Source organism: Homo sapiens, chromosome 8, assembly GCF_000001405.40.
Source record: "Homo sapiens chromosome 8, GRCh38.p14 Primary Assembly".
Classification (NCBI taxonomy): domain Eukaryota; kingdom Metazoa; phylum Chordata; class Mammalia; order Primates; family Hominidae; genus Homo; species Homo sapiens.
The window spans coordinates 42,979,712-43,000,044 of NC_000008.11; the positions used below are offsets into that span (position 1 = coordinate 42,979,712).

At 39.5% G+C, this 20,333-nt stretch overlaps 1 protein-coding gene across 1 annotated transcript in view, besides 1 other annotated feature; it reads left to right on the plus strand.

Annotated features, from left to right (window-relative positions):
* The window catches only part of HOOK3 (hook microtubule tethering protein 3), a 133,558-nt gene that overhangs the window by 82,734 nt on the left and 30,491 nt on the right, over positions 1-20,333 (plus strand). The window contains exons 14-16 of the mRNA NM_032410.4: positions 2,916-2,985; positions 6,944-7,084; positions 17,839-17,926. Of these exons, the coding sequence (NP_115786.1) occupies positions 2,916-2,985; positions 6,944-7,084; positions 17,839-17,926 (299 nt within the window). The remainder of the gene's footprint in view (positions 1-2,915; positions 2,986-6,943; positions 7,085-17,838; positions 17,927-20,333) is intronic.
* Positions 3,542-3,742: a silencer, noted in NCBI's record as "peak7007 fragment used in MPRA reporter construct". NCBI's record gives its function as "represses an SCP1 promoter by STARR-seq MPRAs in K562 erythroleukemia cells {active_cell/tissue: K562}" and the evidence as "EXISTENCE:reporter gene assay evidence [ECO:0000049][PMID:32103011]".

Consider the following 20,333-nt stretch of genomic DNA (forward strand, 5'->3'; position numbering starts at 1 on the left):
CTCACCACCACTCTCCTTCGTTATTCTCTTTACCGTTTCTAGACCAAGCTTGTCAAACCCTAATTGAAATATCCTAATTTTTTTTCCCTATTCCAGATTACCAAGGACGACTGAAGGAAATTATTATATATCTTTCTTGTTTTCACCAAAAATATATCGTTTGTGATTATAACAGCATCCTCATTGCTGCCTTGCTGTTCTTTCACATATCTCTAATCATCTCTACATGAGTTTTGTTTTTTCTTTTTCTTTTCTTTTTTTTTTTTTTTGAGATGGAGTTTTGCTCTTTTTGCCCAGGCTGGAGCGCAATGGTGCGATCTCTGCTCACTGCAACCTCCACCTCCCAGGTTCAAGTGATCTCCTGCCTCAGCCTCCAGAGTAGCTGGAATTACAGGCGCCTGCCACCATGCCCGGCTAATTTTTTGTATTTTTAGTAGAGACCATGTTGGCCAGCTGGTCTTGAACTCCTGACCTCAGGTGATCCACCTGGCTCGGCCTCCCAAAGTGCTGGGATTACAGGTGTGAGCCACTGCACCCGACCTCTACATGAGTTTTTATACAATTTTAAGAATCTAACCTGAAATTTAACCCTTTTTCTCTCAGCTCTGATATCATCAAGAAACCATAAGGCCTTTCACGTAAACTATCACATTTGTTTCTTTGCACCTGTAAACCTATAGGTTTTAACCTTGCCGCTATAGTTTGAATGTCCCCTCTGAAACTCATGTTGAAAGTTAATACCCAATGTGGTAGTTTTGAGAGGTGAGGCCTTCAAGAGGTGATTAAAGCATGAGGACTCTGCCCTCAGGGATGGATTAATCCATCCATGGATTAATATGTTAATGGAGTAATGGTCATCATGGGAGTGGGACTGGTGGCTTTATAAGAAAAAGAGGGCCTGGTGCAGTGGCTCACACCTGTAATCCCAGCACTTTGAAAGTCCCAAGGCGGGTGGATCACCTGAGGTCAGGAGACCATCCTGGCTGACATGGTGAAAACCCGTCTCTACTAAAATTACAAGAACTATCTGGGTGTGGAGACGGGTGCCTGTAATCCCAGCTACTGGGGAGGCTGAGGCAGGAGAATCACTTGAACCTGAGAGGAGGAGGTTGCAGTGAGCCGAGATCGCGCCACTGCACTCCAGCCTGGGTGACAAGAGTGAAACTCCTCAATAAAAAGAAAAAGAGACCTGAGCGAACAAGTGAGCATGCTCAACCCCTTCATCATGTGATGCCCTGTGTTGCCTCGGGACTCTGCAGAGAGTCCCCACCAGCAGGCAGGCTCTTACCAGATGTGCCCCTTCAGTCTTGGACTTCTCTGCCTCTAGAATTGTAAATAATAATTTTTTTTTTTTTTTTGAGATGAGGTCTCACTCCTTTACCCAGGCTGGAGTGCAGTGGCACGATCTCAACTCACTGCAGCCTCTGCCTCCTGGGCTCAAGTGATCCTCCCACCTCAGCCTCCCAAGTAGCTGGGAGTACAGGCATGCATCACCATGCCTGGCTAATTTTTTGTATTTTTGGTGGAGATGGGGTTTCACCTTGTTGTTCAGGCTGGTCTCGAGCTCCTGAGCTCAATCGATCCGCCCACCTCGGCCTCCCAAAGTGCTGGGGTTACAGGCATGAGCCACCACACCCAGCCAAAAATAGTGTTTCTTATAAATTACTGAGTTTCAGTTATTCTGTTATAAGCAACAGAAAAAGGACTAGGACACCTTTCTTGTGTATGTATCCTTTGACCTAGCACTTTTGCTCTAGGAATTAAATTTACCCTAATGAATTAAAGCATTGTTTCTACTAGTGAGATTTTGAAACAGTGTGAAAGTTCAGCAATACAGGAATAGTATTCTTATTCAACTGTATACAGTAGAGCCATTTAAAAGAATAAGGTGGCCAGGTGTGGTGGCTCACGCCTTTAATCCCAGCACTTTGGGAGGCTGAGGCGGGCAGATCGCCTTAGGTCAGGAGTTTGAGACCAGCCTGGCCAACATGGTGAAACCCCATCTCTACTACAAATGCAAAAATTAGCTGGGCGTGGTGGTGGGCACCTGTAATCCCAGCTACTCAGCAGGCTGAGGTAGGAGAATTGCTTGAACCCAGGAGACAGAGGTTGCAGTGAGCCAAGATCATACCACTACACTCCAGCCTGGGCGACAGAGTGAGACTCTGTCTCAAAAAAAAAAAAAAAAAGAATAAGGAATATTTTCTATAAACCTGACAGAGAGAAATATGTATGTTACATCTTTACATTTAAAAAGTAAGGCTGGGCACAGTGGCTCACGCCTGTAATCCCAGCACTTTGGGAGGCTGAGGTGGGAGGATCACCTGAAGTCAGGAGTTCAAGACCAGCCTGGCCAATGTGGTGAAACCCCATCTCTTCTAAAAATACAAAAAATTAGCTGGGCGTGGTGGCGGGCGCCTGTAATCCCAGCTACTTGGGAGGCTGAGACAAAAGAATTGCCTGACCCCAGGAGGCAGAGGTTGCAGTGAGCCAAGATCGTGCCATTGCATTCCAGCCTGGGCAACAGAGTGAGACTCTGTCTTAAAAAAAAAAAAAAAAGAAAAAAAAAAAGAAAAAAGGTAGAATAGAATAGAGGTTACCAGGGGATAGGGGAGGGAGGCATAGGGAATTGGTTACAGAGTTTGTGATTTGGATGATGAAAAAGTTTTGAAAATAGGTAGTAGTGATGGTTACACAACATTGTGAATATACTGAATGCCATTCTGTTGCACACTTAAAAATGCTTAAAATGGTAAAATAATAATACTTAATAATATTTTAAGACCACTGTGACGTGGTCCTTTACTTGAAAATGATTTTTGCTGTTAAAATTAATGCTCAAAGTAGGGTTTCATATCGAAAGTTGTGTAACTGTGTTTTCCATTAGCCTTATATTTATGTTTGTATATTTACAGGGTTAATGCCTCTTGGAAGTCAGGAGTCTTCAGACAGTCTAGCTGCAGAGATTGTTACACCTGAAATCAGGTAAGGAGATTGTGGTGTTCACACTTACACTGCACAGTATTCTTGGAGAAAACGTACTTCTCTACAATATGAAGAAGATAATTTCCTTATTCTTTCTCACCGACACTTTCAACATGAACTCAGTGTTAAATTTTTATGTTTTCAACATGTTAAAAGCTTTCTTCCACTGGCCTACGGAAAATTGATTTGCTCACTTCAATAAGACAATCTTTCACACATATAAAGCCAATTGTTATGTCCAAAGCTTGAGTATCCTCAGCAGACATTAAGCAATGAATACATTTGGCCTGTAGACAATAGTTATGCTTAGCTATAAGCATGCAAAATTATTAGTTATTAAGATTTATCTGCTAACCAGCTGGGCTTGGTGGCTCACGCCTGCAATCCCAGCACTTTGTGAGGCTGAGGCGGGTGGATCACAAGGTCAGGAGATCGAGACCATCCTAGCTAACACGGTGAAACCCTGTCTCTACAAAAAATACAAAAAATTAGCCATGTGTGGTGGCGGGTGCCTGTAGTCCCAGCTACTCGGGAGGCTGAGGCGGGAGAATGGTGTGAACTCAGGAGGCGTAGCTTGCAGTGAGCTGAAGTTGCGCCACTGCACTCCAGCCTGGGGGACAGAGTGAGACTCTGTCTCAAAAAAAAAAAAAAAAAGGTTTATCTGCTAACCACACGGAAAGGTCTGGGAAAGATAATAATGCTATAGACAGGAGGAAATGACTCCCCATCTTAACTATTCTTCCCTCAATCATACCTTATATTTTTAATCATAGCATTTTAAAAATTCCATTTATTTATTTATTTAGAGGCAAGGTCTTGCTCTGTCACCCAGGCTGGAGTGCAGTGGCACAGTCACGGCTCACTGCAGCCTTGACCTTCTGGGCTCAAGCAATCCTCCTACCTCAGCCTGCTTAGTAGTTGGGATCTCAGGCGCGTGCCACCACGCCTGGCTATTTTTTGTAGAGACTGGGTTTTGCCATGTTTCCCAGGCTGGTCTTGAACTCCTTGAGCTGAAGTGATCTGCCTGCCTTGCCCTCCCAAAGTGCTGGGATTACAGGTGTAAGCCGCCGCACCCAGCCAGTTTCATTTATTTTTATGCATAACTAGCTTTATGTGTAAAAATGAAAAATAAGTGGGGGAGACACCAATTGTCCATTAAAAGGAGACTGATTAATTCTGAATATTGCTTTTTACCTTTTTGGGGCCTATTTGCCCCTTTTCAAAATGGACACTGGCCTTGCTTCTTCATAAACTCCTTGGTGGATATTAAATAACAATTGTGTAAGGGTTTCATACACTGTAAAAGTTGAAATAAGCATTCAAATATTTTTTGCATAAATGGAAACAATTTGTAGTTGTTGGTTAGCATTTGTTTAAGAAGGACAAATGGGCTGGGCACGGTGGCTCACTCCTGTAATCCTAGCACTTTGGGAGGCCAAAGTGGGTGGATCACCTGAGGTCAGGAGTTCAAGACCAGCCTGACCAACATGGCGAAACCCTGTCTCTACTAAAAAGTACAAAATTAACTGGGCTTGGTGATGCATGCCGGTAATCCCAGCTACTCGGGAGGGTGAGGTAGGAGAATCACTTGAACCCAGGAGGCAGAGGTTGCGGTGAGCCGAGATCGCGCCATTGCACTCCAGTCTGGGCAACAAGAGTGAAACTCCATCTCAAAAAAAAAAAAAATAAGAAGTACAAACAAAAGGCGTGTTAAGGCAGCACCAAATCTGGAAGTATTTTGTGTACCTTTTTCTTTTCTGCCATCTGATATGCTACTTTATAATTGAACCAATAAGATTTGTTGAATAAATGAACACGTATTTATGAACATTTATAAATAAGTGGTTATGTCCAAAACAACTCACAATTTTTAAGGAAACTTATTGGTAATACAGTTGGTTTTTTAAACTAAGAACAATGATAGGCCAGGTGTGGTGGCTCACATCCAAAATGCCAGCGCTTCGGGAGGCCAAGGCAGGCGGATCACTTGAGGCCAGGAGTTCAAGACCATCCTGGCCAACATGGCAAAACCCTGTCACTGCTAAAAATACAAAAAAATTAGCTGGGTGTGCTAGCACACGCCTGTAATCCCAGCTACTCAGGAAACTGAGGCACGAGAATCATTTGAACCCAGGAGGCAGGGTTGCAGTGAGCCTAGATTGCGCCACAGTCCTCCAGCCTGGGCGACAGCTAGATTCTGTCTGAAAAAAAAGAACAATGATGATAAAGATTCAGCAAATATGGCTTTTCTGAGTATGACTAGATACGGATTAAAATATGCTCTGTGTCCAGAAGAGAGCTATCAAGGAAAAATGATAAACTGGGACGAAAATTTTGCAACATGTTTTAGACAGTGGGTTAATATTTGATACTTTTCATTGATGTTAAGAGTGTGGACAAATTGGAGATCTCATAAACTGAAGGGAAAAGATTAAAGTGGTACAACCTTTCTTTTGGGGAGACTGGCAGGATGTGTCTGTTGTCTAAAAATGCACCTATCTTTTGATCCAAAAATTACTTTTCTGGGAGTTTAATCCTAAGGAAAACCAAGGATATACAGAGAAGTATATTTATAAAGCTAATCTTATTGACTTGTTAAAGCTCAAAATTGGCAGCAATCTAAATGCCCAATAATTGGGGGTTTATTAAATAAGTAACGATTTTAATGTCATGTCATTTAAAATATTCAAGTATATTTAATGATATAAAAAGATTGTGAAATTTTAGGTGTAAATAGCAGGTACCAATGTACATGTACTGTGTGATCCCATTTGAAAAATGTTTGCATGTGAGTATACGTGCATAGAATTAGAAGGCTATATTTCAGCAGTAGTCATTTTGTGCTATAGTTATGGAGGGTTTATATTTTCTTTTCATTTGTCTTCTTTTCCGTACAATGTATGTGTTTACTTTGTAACTGAAAAATATACGGTCCATGTTGCCCATACTGAGGCAGAAGAATTGCTTGAACCCAGGAGGTGGAGGTGGCAGTGAGCTGAGATCGTACCACTGCACTTCAGCCTGGGTGACAGAGACCCCGTCTCAAAAAAAAAAAAAAGTCCATGTTGCCCATAATAAAATACATCAAATTCTAAATAGTTGCTTGAATTAGATCACAGATTTGGTTCATCTTTTCAGTAGCAAAAGTAAAAGATTTATTGTGTTTACAAAATAAGAGCAATGCGTGTGTGTCTATGTTTCTTTCTTTCTTTGATTTTTCTTTATCCACAAGAAGCTTTTCCACAGCTTTTCATAGTGTTTGGTATCTGTTCATACTATCTTCATGGGGCCCTCTAAAGATGACCCTGTGTAAAGAAAAGAATGAATTATATCTTCAACAAGTATGTCTTCATATGAACTAACATTTAATTATATTGTCCCTGCAGTAAATATGGTGGCAAGTTCTGTATGGATACTGTTTTTAATATCCCTTAATGTAAGTTTTTGGCTTATACAGAGTCCAAAACAGTGCAGTCCAGTAACCTGATTGTAATGATCTGGCTTGTTTCAAGAATTTAATTTTACATATTTCAGGAATGGGTAGACTGAATGTCTTGAAGTGATTCTTGTCAAATATAGTATCTTGCCACCAAATGATTGATAATTTAAGATCATAGCATCATTAGAGATTATGTTCTCTGATAAGAATCAGATAAATAAATAAATGCATTCATAGTTTAAATATTTAAATCAGGGAAGAAATAGGATTTTGAAATCATATTTATGACAAATCATGATATTTAGAGACTGTATTATTTCTATAAAGAAAATATTTAAAACCTGAAATGTAATGTCTTTACCAGCTATAATAGCTGAATTTGTTGCAGGTTCTTTATTTTTCATTTCTGTTCTGGTATTAAATTTGTAAGAGTGCTTAGCTGGATTTGATACCTGTGTTGTATATTAATGCACCAAATGACTGTGTATATAATATTTAGTTTTTATTTTGTTCATTCAGGGAGAAACTTATTCGTCTTCAGCATGAGAATAAGATGTTAAAGCTTAACCAAGAAGGTTCGGACAATGAAAAAATAGCCTTATTGCAGAGCCTTCTAGATGATGCAAATCTACGCAAGAATGAACTGGAGACAGAGAATAGGTAGAGTATTATAGGTGGCCGCATCTGGCTATAAGTTTTCCCTATTTGCCTTGATTCTGAATCCCTTAAACAAAGAACTGGCAGGGCATGGTGGCTCACGCCTGTAATCCCAGCACTTTGGGAGGCCCAGGAGGGCAGATCGCTTGAGCTCGGGAGTTCAAGACCAGCCTGGGCAACATGGTGAATGAAACTCCATCTCTACAAAAAAATGCAAAAATTAGCCAGGCATGGTGGTGCATGCCTGTGGTCCCAGCTACTCAGGAGGCAGAGGTAGAAGGATCATTTGAGCCCAGGAGGCAGAGGTTGCAGTGAGCCAAGGCCACACCACTGCACTCCAGCTTGGGCAATAGAGCAAAACTCTGTCTCAAAACAAACAAACAAACAAAAAAACCAACAACAAAGATCTGAATTGTAGTTTGAAAAATGGCCATGTGCTGTTCTCTTTCCCTTTTAGAGAACTTGAATCCGTTTCTCCACTTTTGGGCAGACTTGCCAAAAAACATTGGGCCTTTTTAGAATGGTGTTGTCCTCTTTACTTCTTCATGCAAAATGATACCAGAGCTCTACCATTTACCCTTTCTAATCACTAATTAAAACTAGAGGATTTTTAAAAATCCGATAATTCAGTCTTTCACAAGAATTTCAATTCACAGTTGTTGTCGGGCTAATAGAGTTTACCATTTCCACAGGCCAGTGTGTTGGAGCTCTGTTGGTGTGGGGAGAGCAGTAGCTCCCTCGTAATTGGATTGACAAAGCATTTTTCTTCTAATCTGTTATTTATTGTGACCCTAAAAGGAAATGATTCATCTTAGGAACAACTGACTTATTTTGAGAATTTAGAATTTGCAAAATTAACAGGAAAATCACTTTTCTGCTTGTAAGTTTTCAGCAACATGGTGCTATTCACTCAAAGTCAGTCACTTTAAAATCAGTGATTTACTCTGACAAGGGTTACATTTATATTTTGTTGTGACTGTCTTTTTGTTCTTTTCCTTTTTGGAAATGTTTCTTAGATCACAAACATACAGTTTTTTTTTCTTTTTTTGTTTTGTTTTGCGCTGTTTTTGTTTTACTGCAGTGATACTCTGTCATTTTTTAAGGATTTGACGTTTTTATTAATAGCTTCATAGCTCACCTGACATTACAGATTATTTGTTTATTTTGAGTGATTGATTTGGCTTCTCCCAGTTGGAGGTCAATCTTAGGAGTCACAATTGCTGTGACAGTTGTATCCATCCTACCCTTTTTCCTATAGCTTTACATTTTAAAGCTACTGAGATAGAATCAACAAACAGTGTAAATCAGTATAAATGCTAGAGTGATTATAAGAGCACCATCAAGCATAAACAGAAGGAGAAAATTTTACATCAACTCTGAGGAGTCTAGAGAAATGAGGGATTTTTTAAAGTACTCAGAAAAAGTGGGAAATGGAGACAGTGGAGCGGAGGAGATTGCGGGAGCAGCTGGCGGGTGGGCAGTCCCTCTGGTGCAAGTGTCTTGATGTTCGCCTCATTCATCCTTTGCCTCTGGGCTGTATTTTAGCCATTTTAGACAGAAAAGTCTCTCCCTACCCTAGTATTTTTTTAGTGAGAAAGCACCCACAACTTTCTTCATACTGCTTTGTGTTGTTTCTCACAGGCTTTATAATTGTTGCTCTTTTTCCCAGAGACAGGACAGCCAATTGTCATTTATACAGTGTCCATGTCTGTGGATGACTAATCACCACCCAAGTTCCTGTGTGACTTACCGCTGGTACAACTTAGTGTTGTGATTGTTTCTTAAATTACAACACTGACGATGAATAACTTAGATTATGGCTGCCTATGATCTATAACGATAATAACAGGTAATATTTACTAAGCACCTGTTTGTCTCAGGCATTGTGCTGGGTGTCTTAAATATGCTTTCTTACTTTATGAAAGTTTTACAGATGAGGGAACTCAGACTCAAGACCCTGGCTGCCTGACTCCAAAGCCTCCATACCTAGTCCATACCCTCTTTCTTGCCAATTTATCTTCTACTATGTTTGCACAATATTTATTCCTTTTCCTGTCTTCCTCTCACAGGATGTTTTTTCTCCTAAATGACTTACCCTAAGTTTGTTCTTACTGAATTTAATGAGTATTTATATTACCTTGACTCTAACTTAATATCCTACTAGTTGACAACATTGGGTCCCACTGAGTCTGTTACAGTTTGCTCACTGCCCATGTATGTCACCTGTCAGAAAGCAAAGTCTGTCGTAGACCTCTGAAGTCCTTTCCAATTAGTTTTCCCAAGAGTGAGCACTTTAGTGTATCTGTAATACCTGCCAATCCTCAAACAATATTAGAAGAGGGTGGAGGGTTGAGGGGGAAGCCACATCAGGATTCCCCAGGAATTCTGTCAAAGTAGACCTGATCTTGTTTCTGTACCTCTCAGACTGTGCTATAATCTCAAGCTCACCCTGTCCCTGCATCCCACAGCTGTATATATTCAGCAATTAGACTTTGATTAAAATGTTAACTATCTCAATCCCTGAAGTGGGAGAAAGAAGGTAGAGGCAATTCACATTGATAGAATACCTGCAATATGCAGGGACTCTGCTAGGCACACTTAAGTCTTTTAAACAACCCCATGAGGTAGGCATTATAATCCTCATTTATTTTGTAGATGAACTTTTTATTTTTTTTATTTTTGTGGGTACATAGTAGGTATATATATTTATGAGTTACATGAGATAGTTTGATACAGGCATGCAGTGCATAATAATCATATTGGGGTAAATGGGTTATCCATCCTCTCAAGCATTTATCATTTATGTTACGAACAATCCCATTATACTCTTTAGTTATTTTTAAATGTACAATTACATTATTTTTTACTATAGTCACTTTGTTGCGCTAGGAAATACTAGGTCTTATTCATTCTTTCTATTTTTATGTACCCATTAACCTCTCCCCACTACCCTTCCCAGCCTCTGGTAACCATCCCATCTACTCTCAAGCTCCATGAGTTTAATTTTTTTAATTTTTAGCTCCCACAAATAAGTGAGAGCATGTGAAGTTTGTCTTCCTGTGCCTGTTATTTCACTTAACATAATGACCTTCAGTTTCATGCATGTTTTTGCAAATGACAGGATTTCATTCTTTTTTATGGCTAAATAGTGCTACATTGTCTACATCTACATATACCACATTTTCTGTGCCTATTAATTTTTTTATTTTATTTTATTTTTTTGAGACAGGATCTTACTCTGTCGCCCAGGCTGGACTGCAGTGGTATGATCACAGCTCACTGTAGACTCAACCTCCCAGGCTCAAACTGTCCTTCCATGTCAGCCTCTAAGTAGCTGGAACTATAGGTACACACCACCATGCCTGGCTGATTTTTTAATTTTCTGGAGAGACAGGGTCTCCCTATGTTGCCCAGGCTGGTTTCAAACTCCTGGACTCAAGGGATCCTCCCACCTCAGCTTCCGAAAGTGCTGGGATTATAGGCATGAACCACCATATCCAGCCTCTTTTGAGAAATAAATATCTGTTTAGATCTTTTTTTTTTTTTTTTTTTTTTTTTTTTTTTTTTTTTGAGGATCTCACTCCTTCACCCAGGCTGGAATGCAGTGGCACAATCACAGCTCACTGCAGCCTTGACAGCCCGGGCTCAAGCGATCTTCCCACCTCATCTTCCAAGTAGCTGAGATTACAGGCATGTCCACCATGGCTAGCTAATTTTTTCTATTTTTTTGTAGAGATGGGGTTTCGCCATGTTGCCCAGGCTAGTCTTAAACTCCTGGGCTCAAGCAATCCACCCACCTCAGCCTCCCAAAGTGCTGGGATTACAGGGATGAGACACCATGCCCAGCTCTCCTTGTGCCTATTTTTAAAATCGGATTATTGGAGTTTTTCCTGTAGAGTTGTTTGAGCTCCTTATATATTCTGGTTAGTCATCCCTTGTGAGATGGGGAGTTTGCATGTATTTTCACCCATTCTGTCGGTTGTCTCTCACTTTGTTGATTGTTTCCTTTGCTATGCAGAAGCTTTTTAACTTGATGTGATCCCATTTGCTCCTTTTTCCTTTGGTTCCTTGGGCTTATGGAGTATTACTCAAGAAATCTTTGCCCACACCAATGTCCAGTTTTGTTTTATTATTTTCAGGTCTGAGATTTAAATCTTTGATCCATTTTGATTGGATCTTTGCATATGGCAAGAGATAGGGGGTCTAGTTTCATTATTTTGCATAATGATATCCAGTACCTTTTATCAAAGAGACTGCCCTTTCCCCAGAGTATGTTCTTGGCATCTTTGTCAAAATAAGTTCACTGTAGGTGTATAGATTTATCTCTGACTTCTCTTTTCTGTTCCACTGGTCTATGTGTCTGTTTTTATGTAAGTGCCATGCTGTTTTGGTTACTATAGCTCTGTAGTATAATTTGAAGTCAGGTAACATGATTCCTCTAGTTTTGTTCTTTTTGCTTAGAATAGCTTTGGTTATTCTGGGTATTCTGTGGTTCCATATAAATTTTAGGATTGTTTTTTCTATTTCTGTGAAGAATATCATTGTTATTTTGATAGGGATTGTTTTGAATCTGTAGATAGATAGCTTTGGATAGTATGGACCTTTTTTTTTTTTTTTTTTTCCTTTTGGAGATAGAGTCTGTCTCTGTCACCCAGGCTGGAGTGCACTGGCACTATCTCAGCTCATTGCAACCTCCACCTCCCAGGTTCAAGCAATTCTCTTCCCTCAGCCTTCTGAGTAGCTGGGACTACAGGCATGAGCCACCACGCCCAGTTAATTTTTGTATTTTAGTAGAGACAGGGTTTTGCCCGGTTGGCTGGGCTGGTCTCGAACTCCTGACCTCAGGTGATCCACCCACCTCAGCCTCCCAAAGTGCTGGGATTACAGGCGTGAGCCACTGCGTCTGGCCAACAATATGCCAACACATGGCACTTGGACATACTGAGTACTTTGTTTTTGTTTTTTTTTTCCTTTTAGTGGAGAACTGGGTCTCACTAAATTGCCCAGGCAGGTCTCACACCCCTGGGCTCAGGCTATCCTCCTGCCTTTGCCTCCCTAAGAGCTAGGATTACAGATGTGAGCCACCGCACCCAGCATGGACATTTTAACAATACTGATTCTTCTAATTCATGAACATAGAATATCTTTCCATTTTTTTGTGTCTTCAATTTCTTGCATCAGTGTTTTTTAGTTTTAATTGTAGAGCTCATTCACTTCTTTGCTTAATTCCTAGGTATTTTATTTTATCTGTAGTGATCATAAATGGGATTCTTGATTTCTTTTTCAGATTGTTTGCTGTTGGCCTATAGAAATGTTACTGATTTTTGGCTGGGCCCGGTGTTTCATGCCTGTAATCCCAGCACTTTGGGAGGCCGAGGCGGGTGGATCACGAGGTCAGGAGATTGAGACCATCCTGGCGAACACGGTGAAACCCCGTCTCTGCTAAAAATACAAAAAATTAGCTAGGCGTGGTGGTGAGCGCCTGTAGTCCCAACTACTCAGGAGGCTGAGGCAGGAGAATTGCATGAACCTGGGAGGTGCAGCTTGCAGTGAGCTGAGATCATGCCACTGCACTCCAGCCTGGGCGACAGAGTGAGACTCTGTCTCAAAAAAAAAAAAAAAAAAAAAAAGTTACTGATTTTTGGCCAGGTGCGGTGGCTCTTCCCTGTAATCCCAGCACTTTGGGAGGCTGAGGCGGGCGGATCACAAGGTCAGGAGATTGAGACCATCCTGGCCAACATGGTGAAACCCCGTCTCTGCTAAAAATACAAAAATTAGCTGGGTGTGGTGGTGCACACCTGTAGTCCCAGCTACTCAGAGGGCTGAGGCAGGAGAATTGCTTGAATGCAGGAGGTGGAGGTTGTAGTGAGCTGAGATCACGCCACTGCCCTGCAGCCTGGTGACAGAGACTCCATCTCAAAAAAAAAAAAAAAAAAAAAGAAATGTTACTGATTTTTGTATGTTGATTTGTAATTTGACTTCTTCCTTTCTAATTTAGATGCCCTTTATTTCTTTCTCTTGTCTGATTGCTCTGGCTAGGACTTCTAGTACTGTGTTGAATAACAGGGTGAAAGTGAGCATCCTTGTCCTGTTCCTGATCTTAGAGGAGAGACTTTCAGTTTTTCCCCATTCAGTATGATACTAGCTATGGGTCTCTCGTATGTAACTTTTATTATGTTGAGGTATGTTCCTTTTATACCTAGTTTTTTGAGAGTTTTTATCATGAATTGTCATTGAATTTTATCAAATGCTTTTTCAACATCAATTGAAATGATCATATGGTCTTTGTCCTTTATTCTATTGATATAATGTGTCACATTAGTTGGTATGAGGATGTTGAACCATCCTTGCATACCTGGGATCAATCCCATTTGGTCATAATAAATGATCTTTTTAATGTGTTGTTGAATTTGGTTTGCAGTATTTTATTGAGGATTTTTGCATCAATATTCATTAGTTATATTGGCCTATACTTATATATATATTTTTAAGACAGGGTCTTACTCTGTCGCCCAAGCTGGAGTGCAGTAGCTTAGTAGAGCCAGGTTTTCACCGTGTTGGCCAGGCTGGTCTCGAACTCTTGACATCAGGTGATCCACCTGCCTTGGCCTCCCAAAGTGTTGGGATTACAGGCGTGAGCCACTATGCCTGGCCTATAGTTTTGTTTTGTTTTTTTTCTTTTGATGTGTCTTTGTTTCGTTTTGGTATCAGGGTAATATTTGCCACATAGAATGAGTTTGGAGGTATTCCTTCTTCCTCTGTTTTTCAGAATAGTTTGAGTAGGATTGGTATAAGTTCTTCTTTAAATGTTTTGTAGAATTTGCCAGTGAAGTCATCGGATCTGGGGCCTTTATTGGTAGACTTTTTATTATGGCTTCAATCTCATTACTTGCTATTGGTCTGTTCAGGTTTTGGATTTCTTCATGATTCAATCTTGGTAGATCATATGTGTCTAGGAATTTATCCATTTCTTCTAGATTTTTCAATTTTTTGGCATATAGTTGCTCATAATAACCAGTAATCCTTTGAATTTCTCCGGTATCAGTTGTAATGTCTCGTTTTTTTGTCTCTGATTTTATTTATTTGGGTCTTCTCTCTTTTTTTCTTAGTCTGGCTAAAGGTTTGTCAATTTATCTTTTCAAAAAACTGGTTTTTGTTTTGTTGCTCTTTTGTATTGTTTTCTTCATTTCAAATTCATTTATTTCTGCTCTGATCCTTATTTTTTATCTATTTGTTTATTTAGAGACAGAGTCTCACTCTGTCACCCAGGCTGGAGTGTAGTGGCGCGATCTCGGCTCATGCAACCTCCACCTCCTGGGTTCAAGTGATTCTCCTGCCTCAGCCTCCAGAGTAGCTGGGACTATAGGCGTGCACCACCACCCCCGGCTAATTTTTGTATTTTTAGTAGAGATGGAGTTTCACCATGTTGGCCAGGCTTGTCTCAAACTCCTAACCTCAAGTGATCCACCCACATTGGCCTCCCAAAGTGCTGGGGTTATAGATGTGAGCCACCACACCCAGCCTGCTCTTATCTTTATTATTTCTTCTACTAATTTTGGGTTTGGTTTGCTCTTCCTTTTCTAGTTCATTCAGTGGCATCGTTAGGTTGTTTATTTGAAGGTTTTCTCTTTTTTGATGTAGGTACTTGTGCCCATAAATTTCCCTCTTACTACGGCTTTTGCTGTATCCCATAGATTTCGGTATGTTGTGTTTCCATTATCATTTGTTTCAATAAATTTTTCAGTTTCCTTGTTGATTTCTTCACTGACCCACTGGTCATTCAGGAACATATTGTTGAATTTCCATGTGTTTGTATAGTTTGTAAAATTTCTTTTGTTAACTGATTTCTAGTTTTATTGTGTTCAGAGAAGATACTTGATATTATTTCAATTTTTTGAGTATTTTCTAGATGTACTTTTTTCATAAATATTTTCTTATATTTATGTTGCTTACATACTGCATACTTTAACAGTTACATTACTATTTTTGCTCACCTATTCCCCATTGAGAGAATTTAGCTGTTTTTAAACCATTCCAAAGAACATCTTGGTACATACTGGATTGTGTTTTATGATGTTTACAATGGCTTCCGCCTAGTTGGCTTACAGTATTGTTTGATGAAATAATCTCAAAAATGACTAAGATGGATAGTTGAAATAATCTTTTAGTTGAATACATATTTCCATTTTGCTTTCTGAAAAGAGTGAACAGTATTGTGGTATTACTAGTAATGTGTTTATGGACCTGTGTCCCCATATTGAATGTGGATTTTTCAGGTAATTTATTCTTTTGTTACTCAAAACCACTCAGATTTTTTTACCTTGATGTGAAAAAGTTATAGCTTTAATTAAATTTTTACTGTGATCCTTTCTAAATTATAAACCTATAATTTCTTATAATTTAAGTAAAAGCATTTCTTATTAAACTGTTTGGCTGTTTGGATTCTAAACACTCATTGTCTTGTTTTCTCCTTAATTTGGAGCAGTCTGGCTTCTGCTACTACCATTTCACGAAAGTATTTCTTACTAAGATAACTGGTCATCTCTTAAATGGCCAATCCCATAGCAGCACTCAAGACTTTTATCTTTCCTCACCTTTCTACTATATTCAGTGTTGTTATTCAGTTCCCCCTTCTTCAAATTTTTTATTTCAATAATACCCATCTCTTACATTCTCTCTCATTCTCTGATATTCTTCAGGGTGAGGTTCCTCTTTCTACCCCTTGATTGATCCGCCATGGGCCTTCTTTGTTAGTCTTTTACACTGTTTTTCACATTCTTTCTAGACAATATCATTTTTGCTCATGGCCTCAGTTAACTCCACATGGCTCCCAAATCTGTATGTTCAACTCAGGCTTCTCTCTGCTTTAGATTGAGGTATCTAGCTGTTTGACAAATTTCTAGGCATTTCATTTTCAACAAATGTAAAATCAGATTCCTATATTTCTTTCTTATCCTATTCCTTTTGTCTTCCCTTCTCAGCGAATACCAAAATCCTTATATTCTTTTGCCTTTTCTCAAGATAGTTCGTCTGTCCCTTTCTATTTCCTCCTCTGTCCCTTTCTATTTCAGGCATATTTAGTAATAATAATAATAATAGCCTTCTCTCATCTTCATGCCTGCTCTTGAACCTTTTTGATACTATCTTCCATTTTAAAACCAAAGTGATCTGTCTGACATACTACCTGTGTGGTCTGTCTGACCATGTTTTCCCTTCTTGCAATCCTTCAGTATCACCCAAGACCTTGGGAGGTAAGCTGGTCTCCTGAATGTTGCATCATGACCTAGAGAATTTATGAAAGTCAAGCCATGGGCCAGGCGCGGTGGCTCATGCCTGTAATCCCAGCACTTTGGGAGGCCGAGGCAGGTGGATCACCTGAGGTCAGGAGTTCGAGACCACCCTGATCAACATAGTGAAACCCCGTCTCTACTAAAAATACAAAAATTAGCCAGGCATGGTGGTGCGCATCTGTAATCCCAACTACTCAGGAGGCTGAGGCACGAGGATTGCTTGAGCCTGGGAGGCGGAGGTTGCAGTGAGCTGAGATTGCACCATTGCACTCCAGCCTGGGCAACAGAAGGAGACTCCGTCTCAAAAAAAAAAAAAAAAAAGAAAAAGAAAAAGAAAAAAGAAAGTCAAGCCGTGGAATCAGCGTTATTTAAGGTTATCTGAGTTGTTCCAGTTTCAGCCTGACTTGAGGCTTGCTGATTACAGGATAATCCCAGCAGACACTTTGTATTCCATACAGGGTTGTGCTGATCTCCTTTTCCCCCAGTTTCTCTCCGGCCTTTCTTCCTCTCATAACATACTCATCATCTATACCATTCCTGAATTCACTGCATCCTCTTATTTTTCTGCATACTTTGGACATACTGACCTCTGTCTTGAATCTCCTTTCCACCCTTAACTCATAGATGTTTTATTTATTGTTCTAGTCTCATTTCAAGCCCAGAGTATTTTAACTCCTCCAGAGAGTTATTGCTTCTTTGACCATCATTTTTATATGCATCTATGTACTACTTTGAAGTTTTTATCTGATTGTATTTTATTTGTTTACACTTTTTCCTCCCCACTAGACTTTAATTCCGTGAGGGCAGGGATCTTTTTTTTTTTTTTTTTTTTTTTTTTTTGGGAGGCAGGGTCTCACTGTGTTGCCCAGACTGGAGTGCAGTGGCACGAACACAGCTCACTTCAGCCTCGACCTCCTGGGCTCAAGCGATCCTCCTACCTCATCCCCACAAGTAGCTGGGACTTACAGGTGCTTACCACCATGCCTGGCTAATTTTTCTATTTTTGGTAGAGATGGAGTTTCACCATGCTGGCCAGGCTGGCCTCAAACTCCTGAGCTCATGCAGTCCATCCACCTTGGCCTCCCAAAGTGCTGGCATGGGCCACCACCCACTTCCTGAGTGCAGAGATCTTTTAATACTAGTGCTGAGCACAGTCCTTGAGACATAGTCTTCATAAACATGTATTGAAGTGAATTTCAGAGAAATTAATATGCATAAGTACATTGGTTCTAAAATATGTGCCCACCCAAACACTGTGTTAGAAGTCATCATTCGAAATTTCAAGCAATACCAAAAATAATCAGAAAAGTAAGCTGCCACTCATGACATTAGGCCACTACTATACTACTACTGCTATAACATGAGACTTGATTTTGCTAATTATACTTTCTAACTAATATGACAACCTAGGGAAAAAAGGCATACGTAACTCACCACTTGGAAAATTAATGTACATTTCATTTCTAGGCTGGTGAATCAAAGACTTCTGGAAGTACAGTCACAAGTTGAAGAATTACAAAAATCTTTACAGGATCAAGGCTCAAAAGCAGAAGATGTAAGTTTTAATATGTACCAACGATGGTCCATCAGTTTCACAATGTTGAGAAATAACTTTTATTTTTTATTTGATGTTTTTTGTCAAAATAATTTAGTATTATATTGGTTATAGAAAAGAAATAGTGTTTTCCTTTTTACTAACATTCCTTATAAAAAGGACCAGATAGTACTTTATTGTCTCTTCAGATTCGCTCTGCTGGGAATTAGAAGTTCATTTCTAGTTACCAACTGAAGAATTAATTGAGGCTTTATGTTTTAAATGTGCTCAACTCAGTGTTCAAAGATGAAGTGTAGGGTTTTTCCCCTTTGGCCAAAAAAAAAATTGCTAGTGGGAATTTGGAGTGTTCAAGTAGAAATTTTTAATGTAACAGTGACTTTAAGAAAATACTGCCGTCCCTAGTATTGCATTTTCTCTAAATCTCTGAATCCCTCTTACTCCTTCTGTTCCCCGACACTGGCCCTTTTTTGCACATCCCCCAGCACTCTGCATCTCTGTCACAGCTCTGCACACTTGCACTAGAATAGTGTAAATGTATTAGCCAAGGACTGCCTTTCTTCACACCTGCGTGTTAACCTTCTATCACAGTACTCAGGTAGCACATAGTCGTCTATCTCCGGCAAAAGTGTAAGTAAGTCAAATTTTGCAAATCCTTTATGTTTAATGAACAGTAAACAACCGAGCTAAGACTTAGAGTGTTCAAAAATAGTGTAAAGAGGAGAAAAAACAAAATTTTGGTGATCAGTCTTTGCTTCAACCAGATGTTTTGTTTTTTTCCTGTTACCAATGTAATTTGCTGTAAACTCTGGCATTTGAGCATAAACGTTTGTTTCCATTGATAGAGTCATTTTGGAGGATTAACTTCAAAACTATAGATGTAGCCAATTCCATTTCGCCTTATTAACATAAGAGGATATAAAAACAAAAGGAACCGAAGAAAGGGAGTTAAGTATGTTACTTAAAACTTGTGAATACTAGATATAGAAAGCTCATCCATGGCCTAGCTTAATGAGTTTCTCCAGACATCATCTCATGTATATTGGCAACATGTCCTTCATTCTAACATGGGTGATGTTAGCTCATCCCTTAATCAATGTGTTGGCAGTCCTTGTTAGATTCCCAGATTGATTTCTGATTCCTAAAACTGTCACCAACATTTAAACTTCCTTATGCCCTTATTAAAATTTAAAACATGTTTTTATTCAAAATGCGAAATCACAAAGAGGTGAAACAAAACTACCATTAGTGTATTGAAATATTATTAAGCCTAATTAAGTATCTTAGAGATGAACTGAATGGGGCAACATTTCTTAATTCAGTGAAATCACTAGGTCCTTTAAACTGAGAAAAACGTAAAATCCATTCTGGTCTCTAAAAGTCTGAGGAGACTTTTATTGATTTGTTATGGGAGTGAGGGAAGGGCATGTGGTACATAGGAAGTAAAAATGGTGAAATATCAGAATCAGCTTAAACTTCAGTGTTACAATGATGGCCATTGTGCATGGTTCTCTTACATTAAAACATAAATAAAAGCATTTATTCTTCAAAAGATAATTTGGCATAGCTTGATTAGGTATCGCTATGGTAATCAAATCTAATTAAATATGCTGTGGGCCATTACTTTAACAGAACGTATTTCAGAAGTGAGATGCTAGCCCTGTCAAGTACTATTTACATAAACTAGTCCATTTATTTGACTGTCCAGATGCCAATGTCTTGCTGTAAACTAAGCAGAACTTTGCTCTGAGTTCTTTTCTATATGTAGAAAAGATTCAGATAGCTGAAACTGTGCCTCCAAATGGCTTAGAGAAATAAGTAGTACAATACAGGATATATGGTTCTTGCCCCAGCAAATATTTTTATGTTTTTGTCTTACCTTTCTCTTTCTCTAACTTAAAGTGTTGCATCTCGGGAATGTGCAACACATAAAGCAACCTGCCAAAGGAAGTGGTCCCCTCTGGAGAAGAACAACATAATTTCTGCCAGCTTCTGTTATCAAAAGCACAGTCCTTTCATGTGATCTTAAGTCGGAGTAGAAGGGGTTGCACATTTTTATTATTATTTTTATGTAATTTGTTTTTAGCATGGAAGCAGAAAAACATTGTTATATCCAGCCATATGGATAATTTGAGCTAGCCACAATATATAAAACTTCAGAGAACAAGACAGGATGAGGAGACGGTAGAAAAAAGAAAAATGTACATTTCTTTTAAAAGTGCATATCTTGGGCTGGGCACAGTGGCTCATGCCTGTAATCCTAGCACTTTGGGAGGCCGAGGCGGGCAGATCACGAGGTCAGGAGATCGAGATCATCCTGACTAACATGGTGAAACCCCATCTCTACTAAAAATACAAAAAAAATTAGCCAGGCATGGTGGCGGGTACCTGTAGTCCCAGCTACTCGGGA